Here is a 24,849-nt window from a genome sequence, read left to right on the forward strand (position 1 = left end):
TGGGCCAATAGTGTTATACAATTAAGGCTCCAGAGTGTCCCAAGGATTCTGGCTGTGATTTTGCAGAATCATTAAGGATTTTGTAAATTCAATTCATCATACCAGATTGCAAGCTCCTTCCATCTTGTATATGATTATAAACTTCTATAATAATTAGCAGCATTTGTAATTAATGATTAGCTTTGTCCATACATTAGCGCTTGTAACACAGCACAAGTGCATCCTTGATAAATACACATTTGGAAAAAGATCTTGCTAAGCTGGGGCTCAGCATCATTTACACAAAACACATTATGTACCCATATAGAAAGAGTAACAGATAAATGACAGTGCTGACTTTTATGTGATGTAAATGATCTTCTAGGCACTAAATGATGTGTGTATGTATTACATATGTGTATATATATTTTTACGTCTTACATGTGTGTATAAATATACATTGTGTGTATATATATCACACACATATATGTATGCATGTATGTTTATATGTAAGGTTTAAATATATACTTAAATATATAATGAGCTTTAAATACATATTTAAATAAAATAATAGTCTTCAACATGAATTTTAATCTTCATTAACTCAGGTTTTGAAAACAAATGACATACTAGTTTATTAAATAAAATAATAAACATTTAAATTTTGGAAAAATAAGAATTATGAAATACATTTAAAAGGCACAATAACCACAATCTGTGTAATAAAATGCTACCAAAAATAATTCCATAATGAGAATGCTTTAGTGAACTAATTCTGAAAATTTGTCATTACCATATTTACTGTTGGAATGAAAATAATGTTCCCAGAGAGACTTAAAAAAGCATATCTTTTTAAGTAATGTAAATTTTTCTTAATATACTTGCCTGCATTATTGCTTCTAGGATTTGTTCTTGGCAATGTGTTTTTACATTTGGGTTGGACTTCTAAAAGCAGATTATCAGAGGATTTCTGATTCTGGCAAAGATGGAGTGGTCATTTTTATTTAGCCCAACTAAAAACTCTGGACATAACATAATAAACAAGCTTTGGAAGAGTATTGAAGATGGATTGCCTCAAGTACTCAGTACTTGAACAACATGGTAATGAGTATCCTCAGTTTTCTTACTTCCTCCCATATATCTTGGGCAGGATATTGCATAAGCCTTTAACCTGTAATGGCCAACAGGCATGGAAAAAAAAATTATCCAAGAAAAGCCTGTCTCCTTTAGCCAAAATAACAGAAAATGGGTAACCTAAGGAGGAAAAAAAATCCCAATACACAACCTACTCCAGGCAAACACCACAGAAATCCCAATCGCATACCACTCCCACAGTTTCACTCGGGCCAACTGGGAGCTGACCTTCTACCCTACCACTAGAGAAGCATCCTGTAGAAGCAGGCAGTGATGCTCCAAATCTTCTGCCTAGTGATGTCTGCAGGACTGAATAGGGAGTTGACCATCAATTCTTTATTTATTTAGAGAAGGAATGCTCCAAATCTCATGCTCCAGTAGTGTCACTGGGTCACAGTAGGGAGCGGATCATCATCCTTTATCTGGTGGAAGCCAGATACTCTAGAACATACTCTGATTATCCTTCCAGGGTAGAATTAGTGGATTCCAGGGTCAAGCTGACTCTCCACTCCCATCCCCATTTAACAAGGGCCTGGGAAATGAAGTTGGTTAGCACTTTGTTTATTCCCATTCTTCCCCTAATGTCAGTGAGGCCTAGTGTGGAGCTAAGCGGCAGGCCTCAACTTAAAACAATAAAGTGATGTGATTCAGATATGTTTTCCCTCCTCGTGGTGTCAGAAGGGCACAGTAGGGAACTAATATTGGTACACCACTTTTAAAAGGGATGTGGAAGCTGAATTTCTAGCTGATCTATTTGCAAAGGGGCAACACTCCACTTTTTCCAGTTGGAGCAGGTGGAGGAGGGGATCCAGCAGAAAGCCAAACATACGTGCCCCCTTGCCCTCATGCTACACATCAACAGGGGGAATACAAGATTCAGAATATTGTAATATCAAAAATGTATAGGGTTCAGTTTTAAAAAGAACTTATCATACTATGGACCAGGAAAATCACAACTTGAATAAGAAAAGATCATGGATAGATATGCCAACATTAAAGTGAATTAGATGTTGAAATTGTCTGATAAAGATTTTAAATCCAGCTATTATAAAAATTTTTTAATGTACATTTACCAATTCTCTTGAAACAAATGAATAAATAAAACATTTCAACTGAGAAATAAAAGTTATGAAAAAGAACCAAATCGATAATTTAGAACTAAAAATTGCAGTATTTTTTCAAAATGGCTGACTAAGGACATTGGACGCCAGATTTCCTAAGAAAAAAGATGAAAGTTACAGGTTAACGGACAAGTTCTGAATGGAAAACTGAGTGAAGAAAACTAGGACCTCTCATCGTGTCCATGGGGAGAAGCTGGTGTTCACAAGAGAAAAGCAGCAAGACTCTGGCAAAGACCAACCCCAGGGGAACTTGAAGTTCTGTGGAAAGGATAGGTGGGAGTGCTTCTCTCCTTCCCTCACCCTTGTGACCAAACTGTTAATGAGCCCCTCTGTCCTCATGATCCAGGGCAATGCTGTCAGTGGAGATTTAGGGTTTCCTGAGGAAAGAACCAGGTTTCCATGCCTGCACTGCCTTCACACCTGAACTGAGGCATTGGGAACCATACTTGTTGTTCCCCTGTGGTGGGCCACTGCTCTGCCTGGGGATTCTCTGCTCTTGAATCACTGCACCACCAGATTCTTCATAAATGTACCTCACAACCTGGTCTGATTTTGGCAAGCACAGGCTAATGATGGGTCCCTGGAGAGCTGTGGAATCCCCTGGAGATCTAACCCTCAGCATGGACCACTCCGAAAAAAGGGGGAGTACAGTCCACCAAAACCTCCTTTGGGACAAAGGACACATTTCTGTGGCACAAATTGATGAAAATGGCAGCGCTGATACCTGGGAATAGATGTGGGGAGGGTGTCATCTCCCACCCCCCATACCCTGTCAACTGGTGTGGACACATTAGTGGTTCTTCCCACTGGGAAGTCTGCACATGTGCACTTGGAGAAAGCATTTTAAGCACTTTTCACAGTGGCATGACTTTTGCTGAAAGTGAGCCCTTGCTGCTTGGGCACACATGAAGGACTGGACCCAAGTCCCCTTTCCTACACAGAGTGACAGTATCTCACCAATGGAGATAAGAAATATCACAGAGTTGTCTGTACTGGACTCAGGGAAAAGGTTCTGCCCAAGCCCACTTTGATGGAGTGTATTCGTGGCCCACAGCTGCACTGTGGTTGGCAAACAAGAGGTCAAGTCTTTATGAACTGAAGGTCATGAGCCCAGAGACACAGGTGTGATAGGGAAATGAACCAGGTTTCTGCTGGCTCAGGATGAAGAACTGGTGCACTCACTCTTCCCCTTCCCTTGAGACAAGAGCACACCACACATGATCTCTTCCCAACACCCCCTGTCAGGGCAGGTGCTTCCACCCATTATCGACCTATCTGGGCATGAGCAAGCTATTACTCTTAAGCTCCACTTATGGACTACGGTCTAAAATGCATCACCAAATAACAAACCTCCTTCCAGAAAGGCTTAGTGCTTGCCCACAAGACAAGCTTGCTGACCTCCACATCCTCAGACCCACAGAAAATAGTGTGTCCACTCATTTGTCCAATGCATAGCTATAAAAGCAACATCCAAGAAAGTCACTGCACAGAAGTTATCCACAACCAAGCAACACAAACACAGCACTGCCCCACTGAATGTGTCCAGAAACAAAGCCAAGTGATCATATACAAAATACACCATACTCATACCATAAAGGGAAAAAAGAATTTTAAAAATATCCCAACCAAATGATAGGAAATTCAAAAATAAGAAGCAACAGCTCCTTAGAGATAAACACAAAAACACTGGCACTACAAAAAGCCAGAGTGTCTTGATACTACCAAAGGATCACACTAGCTCTTTGCAAATGGATCCTAACCAAATTGACAAGCCTGAAACAACAGATAAATAATTCAAAATATGGATCCAAGGAAACTCAATGAGTTCCAAAGGAAAGTTGAAATTTAACACAATCCAATAAACTGATTATATTTAATGACATACAAGATATATATTAATGACATACAATTTATGACATATATTAATGTCATAAATTAATATATTTATGACATACAAGATAGCTATATCAAGAAAAAATAGAACTTCTGGAATAGAAAATTTCGTGACAGGACTGTCAAAATATAGTAGGAAGCTTTAACAATAAACTAGATCAAGCAGAAGAAGAAATTTCAGAGCTTGAAGATGTCTTTCAAATTAACCCAGTCATACAAAAAAAATTTAAAACTAACAAAGCCTTTGGAATTATAGAAATATGGAATTATGTAAAATGATCAAGCCTAGAAATTATTGGCATCTCTGAGAGAGAATGATAAAAAATAAAAGAGGTGGAAAACAACTTTGAGAGAATAATTGAGGAAATATTCCCTAACCTTGCTAGGGAGGTCAACATCCAGATAAAAGAAATATCAAAGAAGAAGATAATATATTAGATGACTGTATGAGTTTGCTCTTACATTGCTATAAAGAGCTACTTGAGATTGGGGGATTTATAAAGAAAAGAGATTTAATTGGCTCATGGTTCCACAGGCTGTAGAGAAAGCATAGCTGGGGAGTCCTCAGGAAACTTTCAATTATGCCAAAAGGTGAAGGGAAAGCAAGCACATCTTCACATGGCCAGCAGGAGAGAGGGCAAAAGGGGAAACGCTACATACTTTTAAACAACTAGATCTCATAAGAACTCACTATTAAGAAAACAGTGAGGGAGAAATCTGCCCTCATGATTCAATCACCTCCAGTTGGTCCCTCCCCCAATAATGGGGATTACAACATGACATTTGGGTGGGGACACAGAGCCAAAGTATATCAATGACTATTCCAAAGGCATACAGTCATCAGATTATCCATTGTCAACACAAAAGAATAAATCTTAAAGATAGGTAGAGAAACAGCCAAATTATCTATAAAGGAAATCCCATCAGATTAACTGCAGATTTTTCAGTGGAAACCTTATGAGGCAAAGAAGATTGGTGGCCTATTTTTAGCCTCCTTAAAAAATGTCAGCAAAGAATTTCATATCCTGCCAAACTAAGATTCATAAACTAGGAGAAGTCTTTCCCAGAAAAGAAAACACTGAAAGAATTGGTCACCACCAGACCAACCCTACAAGAAATGTTCAAAGAGCTTCCGAATGAAATTAAAGAATGATACTTGACACCATAAAAGCACATAAGTTCAAAGCTATCAGATCCTATAAAGCAATTACACAATTGAGTTTACAAAGCACCCAACTAGCAACAATATGACAGGAACAAAACCTCAAATATCAATATTGACCTTGGATGTAAACAGCCTAGTACAATATGACAGGAACAAAACCTCAAATATCAATATTGACCTTGGATGTAAACAGCCTAAGTACTCTACTTGAAAGACATGAGTAACAAATTGGATTTGAAAAAAGGCTTAACCTCTGTTACTTTCAAGAGACCTATGTCACATCTAGTAATATCCACAGGCTCAAAGTAAAGAGACGAAGAAATCATGTAAGTGGAAAACAAAATGAGCAAGAATGGCTATTCCTGTATCAGCTACAATATACATTAAATCAACAATAAAAAAAGACAAAAGACAAATAAGGCCTTTATGTAAGATAAACGACTTAATTCAACAAGAAGACTTAACTACACTAAATATGTATGAACCCAACATCAGAGCACCCAGATTTATAAAACAAACAGTACTAGATGTAAGAAAGGAGATAGAGAGTCACACAATAATAGTGGGCTACTTCAGCACCCCACTGACAGCAGTATACCAAGGCAGAAAGCTAACAAAGAAATTCTAGAAGTAAATTGGACACTTGATAAATTGGACCTGGTAGTCATCTAAAGAATACTCCATTCGACAACCACAGAATATGCATTTTTTCCATCTGTACATGGAATATTTTATATAATTAACTACATGTTTGCTCATAAAGCAAATCTCAATAAATTCAAAAAAATTGAAATAATATCAAGTATCTTCTTAGACCACAGTGGAATAAAATTAGAAATCAATATGAAGAGGAACTCTCAAACCCACACAAGTACATGGCAACTGAACAAATTATTCCTTAAGAACTTTTTAGTAAACAAAACAATTAAGGCAAAAATCAAAAACACTTTTTAAAACAAATGAAAATAGAGACAAAACATACCAAAACCTCTTGGATGCAGCAAAAGCAGTGTTAAGAGGAAAGCTTACAGTACTAAATGCATACCTCAAAAAGGTAGAACTATCTCGAGTTAACGACCTAATATTTCTCCTAAAAGAACTAGAAAAACAAGAAAGAAACCAAACCCAATGCTAAAAGAAGAAAATAAATAGCAAAAATTATAGCAGAACTAAATGAAACTGAGAATAGGAAAATGATAGAAATAATCAAAAAACAAAAAGTTGGTTCTTTGATAGGATAAACAAAATTAACAGATCACTAGCTAGATTAACCAGGAAAAAAAGAAAGATTCAAATAAGCAACTTCAGAAATGACAAAAGTGACGTTACACACGTGGAAATACAAAAGATCCCCAGTGACTACTATAAAAATCTTTAAATGCACAAACTAGAAAACCTAGAGGAAATGAAAAAAATGCTGGAAACACACAACCTCCCAAGATTAAACCAGGAAGAAATTGAAATCTTTTTTTTTAATTTTATTATTATTATACTTTAAGTTTTAGGGTACATGAGCACAGTGTGCAGGTTTGTTACATAGGTATACATGTGCCATGTTGGTGTGCTGCACCCATTAACTCATCATTTAGCATTAGGTACATCTCCTAATGCTATCCCTCCCCACTCCCCCAACCCCACAACAGTACCTGGTGTGTGATGTTCCCCTTCCTGTGTTCATGTGTTCTCATTGTTCAATTCCCACCTATGAGTGAGAACATGCGGTGTTTGGTTTTTTGCCCTTGCGATAGTTTGCTGAGAATGGTGGTTTCCAGTTTCATGCATGTCCCTACAAAGGACGCGAACTCATCATTTTTTATGGCTACGTAGTATTCCATGGTGTATATGTGCCACATTTTCTTAATCCAGTCTATCATTGTTGGACATTTGCGTTGGTTCCAAGTCTTTGCTATTCTGAATAGTGCCACTATAAACATACGTGTGCATGTGTCTTTGTAGCAGCATGATTTATAATCCTTTGGGTATACACCCAGTAATGGGATGGCTGGGTCAAATGGTATTTCTAGTTCTAGATCCCTGAGGAATCGCCACACTGACTTCCACAATGGTTGAACTAGTTTACAGTCCCACCAACAGTGTAAAAGTGCTCCTATTTCTCCACATCCTCTCCAGCACCTGTTGTTTCCTGACTTTTTAATGATTGCCATTCTAAAAGGTGTGAGATGGTATCTCATTGTGGATCTGATTTGCATTTCTCTGATGGCCAGTGATGATGAGCATTTTCTCATGTGTTTTTTGGCTGCATAAATGTCTTCTTTTGAGAAGTGTCTGTTCATATCCTTCACCCACTTTTTGATGGGGTTGTTTGTTTTCTCCTTGTAAATTTGTATGAGTTCATTGTAGATTCTGGATATTAGCCCTTTGTCAGATGAGTAGGTTGCAAAAATTTTCTCCCAATCTGTAGGCTGCCTGTTCACTCTGATGGTAGTTTCTTTTCTTTTGCTGTGCAGAAGCTCTTTAGTTTAATTAGATCCCATTTGTCAATTTTGGCTTTTGTTGCCATTGCTTTTGGTGTTGTAAACATGAAGTCCTTGCCCATGCCAATGTCCTGAATGGTATTGTCTAGGATTTCTTCTAGGGTTTTTATGGTTTTAGGTCTAACATGTAAGTCTTTATTCCATATTGAATTCATTTTTGTATAAGGTATAAGGAAGGGATCCAGTTTCAGCTTTCTACATATGGCTAGCCAGTTTTCCCAGCACCATTTATTAAATAGGGAATCCTTTCCCCATTGCTGGTTTTTCTCAGGTTTGTCAAAGATCAGATGGTTATAGATATGTGGCATTATTTCTGAGGGCTCTGTTCTGTTCCGTTAGTCTATATCTGTTTTTTGAAACCGACAAGAACAAAGACACAACATACCAGAATCTCTGGGACACATTCGAAGGAGTGTGTAGAGGGAAATTTATAGCACTAAATGCCCACAAGAGAAAGCAGGAAAGATCTAAAACTGACACCCTAACATCACAATTAAAAGAACTAGAAAAGCAAGAGCAAACACATTCAAAACCTAGCAGAAGGCAAGAAATAACTAAAATCAGAGCAGAACTGAAGGAAATAGAGACACAAAAAACCCTTCAAAAAATTAATGAATCCAGGAGCTGGTTTTTTGAAAAGATCAACAAAATTGATAGACCGCTAGCGAGACTAACAAAGAAGAAAAGAGAGAAGAATCAAATAGACATAATAAAAAATGATAAAGGGGATATCACCACCGATCCCACAGAAATACAAACTACCATCAGAGAATACTGTAAACAACTCTATGCAAATAAACTAGAAAATCTAGAAGAAATGGATAAATTCCTCGACACATACATCCTCCCAAGACTAAACCAGGAAGAAGGTGAATCTCTGAATAGACCAATAACAGGCTCTGAAATTGTGGCAATTATCAATAGCTTACCAACCAAAAAAAGTCCAGGACCAGATGGATTCACAGCCGAATTCTACCAGAGGTACAAGGAGGAGCCGGTACCATTCCTTCTGAAACTATTCCAATCAATAGAAGAAGAGGGAACCCTCCCTAACTCATTTTATGAGGCCAGCATCATCCTGATACCAAACCTGGGCAGAGACACAACAAAAAACGAGAATTTTAGACCAATATTCTTGATAAACATCGATGCAAAAATCCTCAATAAAATACTGGCAAACCGAATCCAGCAGCACATCAAAAAGCCTATCCACCATGATCAAGTGGGCTTCATCCCCGGCATGCAAGGCTGGTTCAACATATGCAAATCAATAAATTAATCCAACACATAAACAGAACCAAAGACAAAAACCACATGATTATCTCAGTAGATGCAGAAAGGGCCTTTGACAAAATTCAACAACACTTCATGCTAAAAACTCTCAATAAGTTAGGTATTGATGGGACGTATCTCAAAATAATAAGAGCTATCTATGACAAACCCACAGCCAGTATCATACTGAATGGGCAAAAACTGGAAGCATTCCCTTTGAAAACGGGCACAAGAGAGGAATGCCCTCTCTCACCACTCCTATTCAACATAGTGTTGGAAGTTCTGGCCAGGGCAATCAGGGAAGAGAAGGAAATAAAGGGTATTCAATTAGGAAAAGAAGTCAAATTGTCCCTGTTTGCAGACGATGTGATTGTATATCTAGAAAACTCCATTGTCTCAGCCCAAAATCTTCTCAAGCTGATAAGCAACTTCAGCAAAGTCTCAGGATACAAAATCAATGTACAAAAATCACAAGCATTCTTATACACCAACAACAGACAAACAGAGAGCCAAATCATGAGTGAACTCCCATTCACAATTGCTTCAAAGAGAATAAAATACCTAGGAATCCAACTTACAAGGGATGTGAAGGACCTCTTCAAGGAGAACTACAAACCACTGCTCAATGAAATAAAAGAGGATACAAACAAATGGAAGAACATTCCATGCTCATGGGTAGGAAGAATCAATATCATGAAAATGGCCATACTACCCAAGGTAATTTATAGATTCAATGCCATCCCCATCAAGCTACCATTGACTTTCTTCACAGAATTGGAAAAAACTACTTTAAAGTTCATATGGAACCAAAAAGAGCCCACATTGCCAAGTCAATCCTAAGCCAAAAGAGCAAAGCTGGAGGCATCTCGCTACATGACTTCAAACTATACTACAAGATTACAGTAACCAAAACAGCATAGTACTGGTACCAAAACAGAGAAATTGAAATCTTGAACAGACCAATGAAAAATTTCAAAATTAAATCAATTATAAAAAAACTACCATCCAAAAAAAGCCCTTGACCAGAGAGATTCACAGCCAAAGTTTACTAGAAGAGCTGGTTTCAATCTTACTCAAACTATTACAAAAAAAAAAAATGAGGAGGAGTGTTTCCTCTCTAATTCATTATGCAAAATTAGTATAATCCTGAAACCAAAATCTGGTAAGGACACAACAACAACAACAAAAGAAAACTGCAGGCCAATATTTCTGGTGAACACAGATGCAATCATTGTCAAGAAAACAGTAGCAAAGCAAATCTAACAGCACATCAAAAGATAACTAACCATGATCAAGTGAGTTTTATCCCTGGATGCAAGAATTGTTCAACATAAGCAAATCAATAAATGTGATTCACCACATGAACAGAATTAAAAACAAAAAAAATATATCATCTCACTAGGCACAGAGAAAGCATTTTATAAAATCTAACATTCTTTCATGATTAAAAACCCTCAGTAAACTAGGCATCAAAAGAACATACCTAAAAATAATATAATCCATCTATGACAAACCCACTGCCTACATCATACAGAATGCACAAAGTTGAAACGATTCCCCCTAAGTACTGGAAAAAGACAAGGATGTACAGTTTCACTACTTCTATTCAATATTGTACTGGAAGTCCTAGCCAGAATAGTCATGAGAAAGAAATAAGTACATTCAGAAAGGAAAAGAGTAAGTCTAACTATCTCCATTGGCTGATAAGATCTTATAATTAAAACACCCTAGTGATTCCTCAAAGACACTGCTAGACCTGATGAACAACAGCAGTAAAGTTTTAGAATACAAAGTCAATGTACACAAATCAGTAGCATTTCTATACACCAATAATGTTCAAGCTGGAAACCAAATCAAGAATTCAATCCCATTTACAATAGCCACACATATACACACACACACAAATAAAATATAACTGAAAAGGTGAAAGATTTCTACAAAAGAACTACAAAACACTGCTGAAAGAAATTATAGATGACACAGCAAATAGAAAAACTTCCCATGCTCATGGATTAGAAGAATCAATATCACTAAAATGATCATACTTCTCAAAGCATTCTACAGGTTCAATGCAATTCCTATCAAACTCCCAATGTCATTTTTCACAGAGTGAAAAAAAAAACTATCATAATTTTCACATGGAACCAAAAATAGCCCAAAAAGCCAAAGCAATCTAAAGCAAAAAGAACAAAGCTAGGGGCATCATATTACCTTACTTCAAACTATATAATAAGGCTACAGTAACCAAATCAGCATGGTACTTCTACAAAAACGGACACATAGATCAATGAAACAAAACAGAGCATCCAGAAATAAAGCCACATGCCTACAACCAACTAATCTTCAACAAAGTTTACAAAAATAAGCAATGGGAAAAGTACTCCCTATTCAATAAATGGTGTGGGGAAAGCTGTCTAGCCATATGCAGAAGAATGAAACTGGACCCCTACCTATCACCATATAGAAAAATTATCTCAAGATAGATTAAAGACTTCAGTGTAAGTCCTGAAACTGTAAAAATTCTAGAAGAAAACCTAGGAAAAGTCTTCAAGACATTGTTTGAGGCAGATAATTTATAACCAGGACCTCAAAGGAAAATGCAACAAAAATAAAAGTTGACAAATGAGACTTAATAAAACTAAAGATCTTCTGCACCACAAAAGAAATAACAGAGTAAACAGACAACCTATAGCATGGGGGAAAACATTTGCAAACTATGCCTCTGACAGTAGACTAATTTTCAGAATCTATAAGGAACTTAAATTTATCAATAAGCAAAAAAAAATTAACTTCATTAAAAAGTGAGCAAAGACCAGGAACAAATATTTTTCAAAAGACATACAAGCAGCCAATAAAAATATGAAAAAATGTTCAACATCACTGATCATCAGAGAGATGTAAATCAAAACCACAATGAGATTCCATCAAATGGCTATATTAATAGCCAGTCAAGTGGCTATTATTAATAGCCAGTCAAGTGGCTATTATTAAAAAGTAAAAAAATAACAGATGTTGGTGAGGTTGTATTGAAAAGGGAATGTTTATACACTGTTGGTGAGAATGTAAATTAGTTCAACCCCTATGGAAAACGATATGGAGATTTCCCAAGGAACTAAAAATAAAACTACCATTTGAGCCAGCAACTCCAATACTGGATATCTACCCAAAGGGAAAAAAATAATTTTATCCTAAAGAAACCTGCACTCGTAGGTTTATTATAGCACTATTCAAAACAGCAAAGTCATGAAGTTTACCTAGGTGCCTATAAGTGGTGGATTGGATACAGAAAATGTGGTAACATGGATGCAGCTGGAGGCCATTATCCTAAGTGAAATAAAATGGAAACAGAAAATAAACTACCACATGTTCTTACTTACACATGCCAGCTAAACGATGGTACACATGGACGTAAAGATAGAAACAATAGACACTGGGGACTGCAAAAACAGGGAGAGAAGTGGGAGAGCAAGGGTTTTAAAATTACATACTGGGTATTTGTTGGAGGCCGCACAAATGTTTCTTGTGATTAGGTACCTCTAAAACCTGTTAGTAATAATATGAACCTGTGGTCAATTAAGCAGCTGACTAATCATATCTCCTCCTCCTTGTTCTTGTTACCCAATAAATAAAAAGGGCTGTGGAAGCTCAGGGCAGCTGTCTTTGCTCACTAGAAACAGGGAGCCCTTTTCTTCTCTCTTCTTCTTCCTCATGCTTAGCCTTTCCTTAAAATAGTTACTTATGTTTTTTGTTATCATTTCTACATTCGTCCCTTCGTTCGGTTGTAATGACGGTCTCAAGTGGTAACAGTAGTAACTGCTGTAGTGATGGTCTCAGGCAGTAACAGTAACTGCTGTTACTCAAGTAGTAGTAGTGGCAGTCGGCCACAAGTGGAACCTGCACAGGAACTATCAGGGACAAACAGAGACCTGAAGGGACCTGAAGAGTCCTGCAGGGACAAATAGAGATAAATAGAGATAAATAGGTAGAGGGAGGGAGGTGGAGGTGGAGGGAGGGAGGTGGAGGTGGAGGGAGGGAGGTGGAAGTGGAGGGAGTGAGGTGGAGGGGGAGGGAAGGGGAGGGAAGGGAAGGAGAGGGAGGGAGAGGGAAGGAGAGAGAGGGAGGGAGAGAGAGGAAGATGGAGGGAGGGGGAGGGAGAGGGAGGGAGAGGGAGAGAGGGAGGGAGGAAGAGAGGGAGGGAGGAAGAGAGGGAGGGAGGAAGAGAGGGAAGGAGGGAGGAAGAGAGGGAAGGAGGGAGGAAGAGAGGGAAGGAGGGAGGAAGAGAGGGAAGGAGGGAGGAATAGACAGAAGGAGGGAGGAATAGATGGAAGGAGGCAGGAAGAGAGGGAGGGAGGTAGAGGGAAGGAGGGAAGGAGATAGAGGGAAGGAGGGAAGGAAGGAGGGAGGTAGAGGGAAGGATGGAGGGAGATAGAGGGAAGGAGGGAGGGAGGTAGAGGGAAGGAGGGAGGGAAGTAAGTAGAGGGAGGGAGGTAGGTAGGTGGAGGGAGGTAGGTAGAGGGAAGAAGGGAGGTAGAGGGAGGGAGGGAGTTGGAGGGAGGTGGAGGGAGGGAGGGAGGGAGGTAGAGGGAGGGAGGGATGGAGATAGAGGGAGGGAGGGAGGGAGATAGAGGGAGGGATGTAGAAGTAAGAAGGTAGAGGTAGGTAGGGAAAGACAGGGACTTGAAGGAACTAACGGACCACAGGGACAGACAGGGTCAGCTAGGGATAAAGACTATCAAACTAGCAATATAAGGTCAGTGCCCTAAAGAGGTAAAAAAATGTAGACTAGCAAAGACTAGCAGAGATTTGCATGGAAGGTATGCTAGAACAGGAAGAAAAAAAAAAACCTAAAACCAACTAGATGAATGACCAACCCTGTTACAAGTCTTCAGGCAGCATGTACTGGTCTAAAAATGTACTGGTCAGTGCCCTAGATGTACAAAGAATGGGAAGCTTTTGAATTAGGGTAACAGGAGGAAGAATTTGGCTATTTCTTTTCTCTTTTTTGTTTGGAGTTTGGTACATACCATCTTTTATTTCAGGGTTTTAGAACATTTTTTGCCCCACCTACAGCACCTATTGAAAGTGGTGAACAGAAGAGGGAGGATGAAAATTGGCTTGTACTGTCTTTTGTGGCTACAGAAAGGCTAACTTTAGCTTTGGCTTTCGTGGATTGTAAACGTGCACTGGCACCTGTGAGATGTGCAGAGGACTTGGGAGGTTTTCTCAGAGCTTGTCAGGATATGGAAGCTGAGCTTCATTGCTCTGCAGTATTGACTCAGGCAATGGCTAATTGGGTAGCTGATAGATCTAAAGGAAGCCAAGGGTCAAGCCCTAAAGTGGGAAAGTGTTATAAGTGTAGACAAATTGGACGTTTCAAAAAAGAATGGCAGCAGACCTCTTGGCAAAAGGGATCTTGTAACACAGTTCCCCTCTTAATAGAAAAAAAGGCCAGGACTTTGCCCTCGTTGCAATAAAGGAAATCATCGGACTAATGAATGCCACTCAATATTTCATCAAAACAGCACTCTCCTGTCGGGAAGCAAGAAGGGGGCCTGGACCTGGGCACCTCAAACTATGAGGGCATTTCCCGTCCAGGCCACAACTCCATCTCAGGGGTGGGTTTCCGGAGGCACATGGATTGCCTCTCTCCAGGAACACCTGGAAATGCAGGATTAGATCTCCTAGATAACAAATTATGTTAATGGAAAGAAACAAACTTACTAAGATTCCCATTGGTATTTGACGACATTTGCGAACAAGATACATGGGATTGATTTTGGTAAAAGCTGTCTTAACTTACAGGCCCAGGAGTTGTTGACTTTGATTGTGAAGGAGAAATTCAGGTAGTGGTAATGTCACAAAATCTTTGGGTTTGTGAACCGGGAGAATATGTTGCTCAACTGTTGCTTATTCCCTGTAAATTGTACCCTTCTCTACGTAAGAAGAAGCAAGGAGGTCAGGAATTTGGAAGTGCAACTAGGAGAGAGATTTATCTTTCACAACCCATAGCATCTAGTGGACCCACCTGTACAGTGCAAATTGAAAGTTTAAGGATTGCTTTTTGCTATACTGTTGTATGAAAAGGATAAGCCTCGATTTGCTTTCTGTCTTCTGTTAATGAGAAACAGCCTGTCTCTCATTGTCACTGGAAAGTTTTACCCCACGGTAATTAACCAAAGAAGCAGAAGCTGAGCTAACAAATGCTCAGCAACGGCATGCCTTCTGGCTACAGCCACAAAAGGTTTTTGCTTCTGTTTCAGTAGGTTTACTAACGTGGGGACGAGGGTATGCTTGTGTCTTTACAGAAGATGGACAAGCCATGCAGGTGCCCTCAAGAAGTGTGCAACCATGGAATGGGAGACTGGTGGGACCCATGGATTCCAATTACAGGCCTGGTTCCCCTAGTATGAGCCATGAGCCAGTTGAATCCGAATGAGAAGACAGAACGCGGACCGACGGAAATCATGCTGACATCAACCCCCATAATACGGGGACAGATCAAGAAAACCACACAGGAAGCTGAGAAACTGATGGAGCGCCAGAGTTTCACCTTTTGCTGGAACTCAGAGGCACAATCGATGTTTAACGAACCAATGCTTTCTGACTGAGCTCCTCTCTACCCTGAATACAAGAGACCCTACTAGGCAGGAATATCATTGCCCTTACTCAGCATGAAGAAGTTGCAGAAGACGGACCTTCATCCTTCTGCAACCCTTAGGATTAAGGGTCCTCTTGTAAAAGGGAAGGGGAAAATATGTAAGAAGCATTCAAACCAGAGCAACTCTGTTTTGAATAAGGGTTAAGAAAAATGAAGCTGGATCACCAACTGGCAGTTAAGGGCTGCACAGCCTGCAATTGCCTTGCTCAATTAATTTGAAAAGGGGAGGCCGCACAAATGTTTCTTGTGATTAGGTACAGCTGAAGCCTGTTAGTAATAATATGAACCTGTGGTCAATTAAGCAGCTGACCAATCATTACCTCCTCCTCCTTGCTCTTGTTACCCAATAAATAAGAAGGGCTGTGGAAGCTCAGGGCGGCTGCCTTTGCTCACTAGAAGCAGGGAGCTCTTTTCTTCTTTTCCTCTCTCTTCTTCCCCATGCTAGCCTTTCCTTAAAACAGTTTCTTTTGCTTTTTATTATTTCTACATTCATCCCTTTCTTCAGTTGTAATGAAGGTCTCAAGTGATAACAGTAGTAACTGCTGTAGTGATGGTCTCAAGCAGTAGCAGTGGCAGTCTGCCACAGGTATTATGTTCATTACTGGAGTGATGGATTCACAAGAAGTCCAAACCCCACCATTACATGATACACTCATGTAACAAACCTGCACATGTATCTCCTGAACCTACAATTTTAAAAATGCAGCCAGTAACCGAAATTTAAAAAACAACAAACAAAAACTTTGGATATATTTAAGATACAAAAGAACTGGATACATTCAATTGTAAAGTGGTATGACAGGATAAAATCAGCTTGAGGACAGAGCAATATATTTTACAAAATCTGAACAGAGAAATAGTAAACTGTAAAAGAATTAACAGTATGAGGTACCTGTGGTACAATAACAAAGATGATATTCATATCTTAGTTGTAGTGGAGGAGAAAGTGACTAAATGTGTTGGAGGAAATGATTACTGAATTTCTCAAACATAATGAAAGATGCAAATCTATAGATTCAAGATGCTTAGTGAACACCAAATAGAATAAACCTAAGTATCATAATTACAATTCTGAAAACTAAAGACACACAAAAATTTTTTACAGCAGTCAGAAATGTGATGCAATACATATAGGGAAACACCAATTTGAATGATGGAAGATTTCTTACCTGAAAGCAGAGGCCAGAAAGAAGTGTAGCATTTTCAGCTACTGAAAGGAAAATACTGTTATTGTACATCTGCTAAAAAGCATCCTTTATAAATATATAAATTAAGGGGATAGCAAGATATTTTTTGGGAAAAGAAAACTAAAAATTTGTTGCTAGCCTAAGTATCCCTCAATGAATGGTTCAAAATAGGTTCTCTAAACAGAAAGGGAATGACAGAAGGAATAGAGTTTTACAAAGGAAATAGGATCAAAAAGGGAAAAATAGGGGTGAATACAGTATCTTATTTGGTATTAATTTCTTAAATAATATTTAATTGTTGAAATAAAAATTATAACAGCATATCACATGTTGCTCAATGTATGCTGAAGAAATAGGCAATTATATTTCAAAAGCAAGGAGAGTAAAAGTGACCCAAATAAAAGTATGATTTATATGCTTTATTCAAATGAATAAAAGCACATTCTCATTTAAACCATGCATGATCTTAGGAATGAGGTGAAGCAGGAATTACTATGTTCCCATGTAAATAAAGTGAAACTTAAAGATATTTCTTACTTGCCCAAAGTCATCTTTCATATACAAAATGCCCATTTTTCAATCACTTTAAGTCATGGGCTCTGAATAACAAAATTTTTAAACTATTTTTTTCCTATATTGACAGAGAATTTGAGCTTTTTGGGATAAATGAAAACTATCTAAAATAGCATTTTTGTAATAGTTGCACAACTGCTTAAATTTATTAAAACCCATATAAACTTACACTTCAAATAATTCATTTTACTGTATGTAGTTTACACCATATTACTGTTGAGAACAAGAAATATTAGTATGATTTTCCAATAAAGTAAAAATTCAAGGTCAAAAGCAAAGTTCTTTCATTGATTTTCTGTAGTTCCTAGTGACATGTTTCATGTCATAGAGACTCACTGAGGTTCAGGTAGAAAGAAGGAAGTCAATTTTGGTAGTTTTGAGCTGGGTTTGACAGAAGTGAGAAATTTCTCTTTAATTTTTTTGATTTTTATTTTTTTTAACTTTTAAGTTTAGGGGTAAAAGTACAGGTTTGTTATACAGGTAAATTGCATGTTGCAGGGGGTTGGTGTACAGACTATTTTGTCACCCAAGTGATAAGCATTATAACTGATAGGTAGTTTTGCATCCTCCCCATTCTCCACTCCACCTTCCAGTAGGCCTTGATTGCTATTGTCGCCTCCTTTGTGTCCATATGTACTCAATGTTTAGGTCCAACTTATAAATGAGAACATGTGTAATTTGGTTTCCTGTTGTTGTGTTAGTTTGCTCAGGATAATGGATTTCAGCTTTATTCATGTTGCTGCAAAGGACATGATCTCATTTTTTTAATAACTGGATAGTATTTCATTGCATAAATGTACCACATTTTATTTATTCAGTCTACCACAGACAGACATTTCTTTATCCAGTCTACCACTGACGGGCATTTAGGTTAATTCAATGCCTTTGTTATTGTGAATAGGGTAGCAATAAACGTGCATGTGAATGTGTCTTTTTTTTTTTTTTTTTTTTTTTTTTTTTTTTTTTTTTTTTTTTTTTTGATACGGAGTCTTTCTCTGTCACCCAGGCTGGAGTGCAGTGGCGTGTTCTCTGCACACTGCAGGCTCCGCCCCTGGGGTTTACTCCAGTCTCCTGCCTCAGCCTCCCGAGTAGCTGGGACTACAGGCACCGGCCACCTCGCCCGGCTAATTTTTTGTATTTTTAGTAGAGACGGGGTTTCACCGTGTTAACCAGGATGGTCTCTATCTCCTGACCTTGTGATCTGCCCGCCTCAGCCTCCCAAAGTGCTGGGATTACAGGCGTGAGCCACCGCGCCCGGCCATGAATGTGTCTTTATAGTAAAACAATTTATATTCTTTTGGGTATATGCCCAGTAATGGGATTGGTGGGTTGAATGGTGATTGTGCTGTAAATTTTTTGAGAAATTGCCAAACTGTTTTCCACAATGACTCAACTAACTTACATTCCCAGTAGCAGTGTATAAGCATTCCATTTTCTCCACAATCTTGCCAGCATCTATTACTTTTTCACTTTTTAATGGTAGCCATTCTGACTGATGTGAGACGGTATCTCATTGTGGTTTTGATTTGCATTTCTCTGATGATTAATGATGTTGAACTTTGTTAATCCCACATATGTCTTCTTTGAAAAGTGTCTGTTTATGTCCTTTGCTCACTTTTTAATAGGGTTACTTTTTGCTTGTAAATTAAGTTCCTCATAGATTCTGAATATTAGACCTTTGTAATATGTATAGTTTGCTAATATTTTCTCCCCTTCTGTAGGTCATCTGTTTACTCTGTTGATAGTTTATTTTGCTATGCAGACCTTCTTTAGTTTAGGACTCATTCGTCAATTTTTTTTTTTCTTGCAATTGCTTTTGTTGTTTTCATTATGAAATCTGTGCCAGGTCCTAAGTCCAGAATGGTATTTCTTAGGTTATCATCCAGGCTTTTTACAGTTTTAGATTTTATATTTATGCCTTTAATCAATCTTAGGTTGATTTTTGCATATAAGGAAGTAGTTCAGTTTAAATCTTCTGTATATGGCTAGCCAGACCATTTATTGAATATGAAGTGCTTTCTGCATTGCTTATCAATTTTATTGAAGATCACATGGTTGTAGGTGTGCAGCATTATTTCTGGAATCTCTATTCAGATCTGTTGGTCTATGTGTCCTTTTCTGTACTAGTACATGCTGTTTTGGCTACTGTAGCCTTGTATAGTTCACCATTGAGTAATGTGATGCCTCCGGCTTTGTATATTTTGCTTAGAATTGCCTTGGCTACTTGGGCTATTTTTTGGTTCCATGTGAATTTCAAAATAGTTTCTTCTAATTCTGTGAAGAATGACATTGGTACTTTGATAGAAGTAGCATTTAGTCTATAAATTGCTTTAGGTAGTACAGCCATTATAACAATATTAATTCTGCTATCCATGAGCATGGAATGTTTTTCCATTTGTTTTTGTCCTCTGAGATTTCTTTGAACAGTGCTTTGTAATTCTTGTTACAGCAGGCTTCCACTATTTTGGTTAGATGTTTCCCCAGGTATTTATTATTTTTGTGGCTGTCATGCATGGGATTGTATTCTTGATTTGGTTCTCAACTTGAAAGTTGTTGCCATACAGGCATACTACTGATTTTTGTACATTAATTTTATATCCCAAAACATTGCTAAAGTTGTTTATCAGATCAAGGAGCTTTTGGGAACAGACTGTGGGGTTTTCTAGGTATAGAATTACATTGTTGGCAAACAGGGATAGTTTGACTTCCTCTTTTCCTATTTGGATGCCTTTTAGTTCATTCTCTTGCCTGATTCCTATGGCTAGGACTTCAATTTATATCAAATAGGATGATAAAAGAGGGAATTATTGTCTTGTTCTGGTTTTCAAGTGGAATACTTCCAGCTTTTATCCATTCAATATGTTGGTTGTGTGTTTTTCATATATTGCTCTTATTATTTTTAGGTATGACTAGTTTGCTGAGAGTTTTTAACATGAGGAGATGTTAAATTCTATTAAATGCCTCTTCTGGATCTATTGAGATGATCACGTGGTTTTTATTTTTAGTTCTGTTTATGTGGTGAATCACATCTATTGATTTGCATATGTAGAACTAACTTTGTATTCTAGGCATAAAGCCTACTTGATCATGGTAGATTAAGTTTTTGATGTGCTTCTGAATTCACTTTACTAGTGATATGGTTTTGCTATGTCCCTACCCAAAATGTCATCTTGAATTGTAATCCTCATAATCCCCATGCCCAAGGGTGGGACCAGGTGGAGGTAACTGGATCATGGGGGTGGTTTTCTCCCTGTTGTTCTTGTGCTAGTGAGTGAGTCTCACAAGATCTGATGGTTTCATAAGTATCTGACATTTCCCCTGCTTGCACTCACCCCATCCTGCTGCCCTGTGAAGAAGGTGTCTGTTTATCCTTTGCCTTCTGCCATGATTTTAAGTTTCCTGAGGCCTCTCCAACAATGTGGAACTGTGGGTCAATTAAAACTTTTTCCTTTATAAATTCCCAAGTCTCAGGCATCTTTTTCATAGCAGTGTGAGAACAGACTAATACAATTAGTATTTTGTTGAGAATTTTTTGCATCAATATTCATCAAGGAAGAATATTGGCCTGAAGTTATCTCTTTTTGCTGTGTCTCTGCTAGACTTTGGTTTCAGGATGATGCTGGCTTCATAGAACAAGTTAGGGAGCAGTGACTCCTCATCAATTTTTTTTTTTGGAATAGTTTCAGTAGCAGTGCTGCTATCTCCTCCTTATAAATCTGATAGAATTTGGCTGTGAATCCACCTGGTCCAGGGCTTTTTCTCATTGTTAGGCTTTTTATTACTGATTCAATTTCAGAACTCTGTATTGGTCTGTTCAGGAATTCAGTGTCTTCCTGGTTCAATGTTGGGAGGTTATATGTTTCTAGGAATTTACCCAGTGCTTCTAGGTTTTATAGGTTGTGTGCACAGAGGTGTTCTTAATAATCTCTAAGGGTTTTTGTATTTCTGTGGGGTCAGTGGTAAGGCCCCCTTTGTCATTTCTAATTGTATTTATTTGAATTTTCTCTCTTTTTTTTCTTTATAGTCTAGGTAGTGGCCAATCTATCATATTAATTTTTTCAAAGGACAAGCTCCTGAGTTTATTGATTTTTTGCATGGCCTTTTGCATGTCAGTTTCCTTCAGTTCAGCTCTTATTTGGGTTATTTCTTTTCTCCTGTTAGCCTTGGGGTTGTTTTGCTCTTATTTCTCTAGTTTCCCTAATTGCGATATTAGGTTGGTAATTTGAAATCTTGCTAACTTTTTGATGAGGGCATTTAGTACTGTAGACTTTTCCCTCTTAACACTGCTTTGGCTATGTTCCATAAATTCTGGTATCTTGTTTCTTTGTTCTCATTAGTTTCAAAGAATTTGTTGATTTCTGCCTTAATTTCATTAATTACTCAGAAGTCAATCAGGAGCAGGTTGTTAAATTTCTATGTAATTGTACAATTTTGAGTGTTTTTTAAGCACTGATTTATATTTTTATTGCACTGTGGTCTCAGAGCATGGTTGGTATGATTTCAGGTGTTTTTAATAAGTTGCTGAGGATTGTGTGGTTAATTTTAGAGTATTTGCCATGTGTAGATGAGTATAATGTATATCCCTTTGTTTTTGGCAGGAGAGTTCTGTAGGCATCTGTCAGGTCCACTGTCCATATCACTATCAGCATTTTGGTCACAACCATTTAACCGGTTTCTAAGAAGTTCAAAACTTTCCCTTATATTTCCTGTCTTCTGAGCCCTTCAGAATCTTCCAATCTCAACTTACTACTAATTCCAAAGTTGCTTTCACCTTTTCAGTTATCTTTACAGCAATACCCCACTTCTGGTACCAATATGCTGTATTAGTTCATTCCTGCATTGCTATAAAGAAATACCTGAGACTGGGTAATTTCCAAGAAAGAATTTTAAATGACTCATGGTTCTTCAGGCTGCACAGGAAGCATAATAGCATTTGCTTCCGGGAAATCCTCAGGTAGCTTCAACTCATGGTAGAAGACAAAGCAAGAGCAGGCACTTTACATGGCAAAAGGAAGACTGAGAGAGAGGGAGGGTGCCACACACTTTTAAACAACCAGATATCATGAGCATTTACACAATAGCACAAGAACAGCACCAAATGGATGGTGCTAAACCATTCATGAGAAATCTGTCCTCATGATTCATTCAGCTCCCACAACGTTCCACCTCCAACATTGGGGATTACATTTCAACACGAGATTTGGGTGGGGATGCAAATCCAAACTACATCATAACACGTGCCTTCTTACATTTTGTGTTTGCTTGGTAGAATTTTCTCCATCTCTTTACTTTTTCCTTTGCGTGTCATTGCCTATGAGATGAATCTCTTGATGACAGCATGATGTTGGGTTTTGCTTCTTTATCCAACTTGTCACTCTGTGCCTTTTAATTGGGGCATGTGGCCTGTTTACATTCAAGGTTAGTATTGATATGTGCAGATCTGATCCTGTTATCATGTTGGTAGCTGCTTATTATGCAGACCTGTTTGTGTTGTTGCTTTATAGTGTCAATGGTTTATACAGCTAAGTGTATATTGTAGTAGTTAGTAATGGCCTTTCCTTTTTAACCTTAGCTCTCCTTTTAAGACATCTTGTAAGGAAGATATGCTGGTAACAGATTCCCTTAGCATTTACTTGTCTAAAAAGAATATTTCTCTTATGCAGCTTAGTTTGGCTGGATATGACATTCTTCACTGAAAGTTGTTTTCTTTTTTTTTTTTTTTTTTTTTTTTTGAGACAGAGTCTTGCTCTGTCACCCAGGCTAGAGTGCAGTGGCACAATCTTGGCTTACTGCAACCTCTGGCTCCTGGGTTCAAGCAATGCTCCTGCCTCAGCCTCCTGAGTACAGTAGCTGGGTCTACAGGCATATGCCACCATGCCTGGCTAATTTTTGCATTTTTAGTAAAGACAGGGTTTCACCATGTTGGCCAGGCTGGTCTCAAACTCCTGACCTCAAGTGATCTGCCTGCCTTGGCCTCCCAAAGTGCTGGGATTATAGGCATGAGCCACCACGCCCAGGCCAAAAATTATTTAAGAATGATGAATGTAGAATCCGAATCCCTTCTGGCTTGTAGGGTTTCTGCTGACAGGTCTACTGTTACCCTAATGGGGTTACCTTTGTAGGTGACCTGCCTCTTTTCTCTAGCTGCATTTAACATTTTTCTTTCATTTCTACCTTGGTGAATCTAATGAATATGTGTCTTGAGGATTTGTCCTGTAGTATTTCACAGGGGGTTGCTACATTTTCTGAATTTAAATGTTGGTCTTTCTAGTGAGGTTGGTGAAATTTTCATGGATGATATTCTGAAACACGTTTTTTGTATTGTTTGGTCTCCTCTTTTTCAGGGACACTAGTGAGTCATACATTTGTTCTCTTTGCATAATCTCATATCTCTTGTTCATTGTTCTTTATTTTTGTTTGAGTTATTTCAGAAAGCCAGGCTTCAATATCTGAGATTCTTTCCCAACAGTGGCAGGGGTGGGCAGGGTCATGCACTCTGCTGTCTGCGTGTTTCTTGGGACAAGAGGAGGCTGCACCCTCCAGCTGAGTTCACACTGAAGTGAGACCTCTGGGATGGAAACTCTAGCAAGTCTTGCCCCTCTGGCTACTAGTGGTGGGGATGGCTGGAGTGGCTGGTTGAGTTCCTGCTTAAGTAGGACTGCTGGGGTAGAAGCTGGTGTTGTGTACTGCCTGGCAAGGGGTGGAGGTGGAGCAATCTTACTACTCATAGGCCCTGCTACTGCAGCCTCTGCTGGGGCTGTGGTGATGGTGCTTGTCTGCTCTGGGGACTAAGGTGTGTAGAGGTTCCCTTAGACTCAAGTATTGCCTCTGCAAAATGTCAAAATGGCTCTCTGCCTCAGACTAGAAGTATGGTGTGGGGCTAGGGGTTGGGGAATGTTCATGGGGCTAGGAATATTCTCCCATTCCCAGTCTTGCCCATGTCCCTGTGGAAAACGTGATTCCCCCAGGGGCCTCTCATTCACTCACCCTTTCCCATGTTGAAGAGGTACTTCTGGCTCCATGCCAAGCCCAGTCAGGCTGCTGCCCAGCTTTGCTCATCTCTGCTGTGTTCCCCTGCTGCCATGATGGATCTTGATGTGTTTTCCCACATGAATGGCCTGCAAGGTCAATATTCATTAGCCCTTTCTTTCCTCTCCATGATAGCAGCACACATGAGCTGCTTCTAGTCTGCCATCTTGGCCCTGCCCCTCAAATTTGTCTTGTTAAAACATTTGTTAACTTGTTTCATTTAAAAAAGATATGCATGTACACACATAATTTCATCAAAAATTTAATAGTAGTTTTTCCCATCTGTTTAGAAAGAGTAGATACTTGAAACCAAATCATCTTTTGAGGTTTTATCCCAGAATCT

At 38.6% G+C, this 24,849-nt stretch overlaps 1 long non-coding RNA gene across 1 annotated transcript in view, besides 1 other annotated feature; it reads left to right on the forward strand.

The window, feature by feature from the left end:
- LINC02661 (long intergenic non-protein coding RNA 2661) overlaps positions 1–24,849 on the forward strand; it is a 132,148-nt gene that overhangs the window by 8,128 nt on the left and 99,171 nt on the right. The gene's annotated exons all lie outside the window — the stretch shown is intronic.
- Positions 12,327–12,496: an enhancer, noted in NCBI's record as "experimental_9749 CRE fragment used in MPRA reporter constructs". NCBI's record gives its function as "activates a minimal promoter by MPRAs in K562 erythroleukemia cells, with activity observed for the introgressed 10:110488836 variant allele {active_cell/tissue: K562}" and the evidence as "EXISTENCE:reporter gene assay evidence [ECO:0000049][PMID:34662402]".

Source organism: Homo sapiens, chromosome 10 (assembly GCF_000001405.40).
Source record: "Homo sapiens chromosome 10, GRCh38.p14 Primary Assembly".
Lineage (NCBI taxonomy): Eukaryota > Metazoa > Chordata > Mammalia > Primates > Hominidae > Homo > Homo sapiens.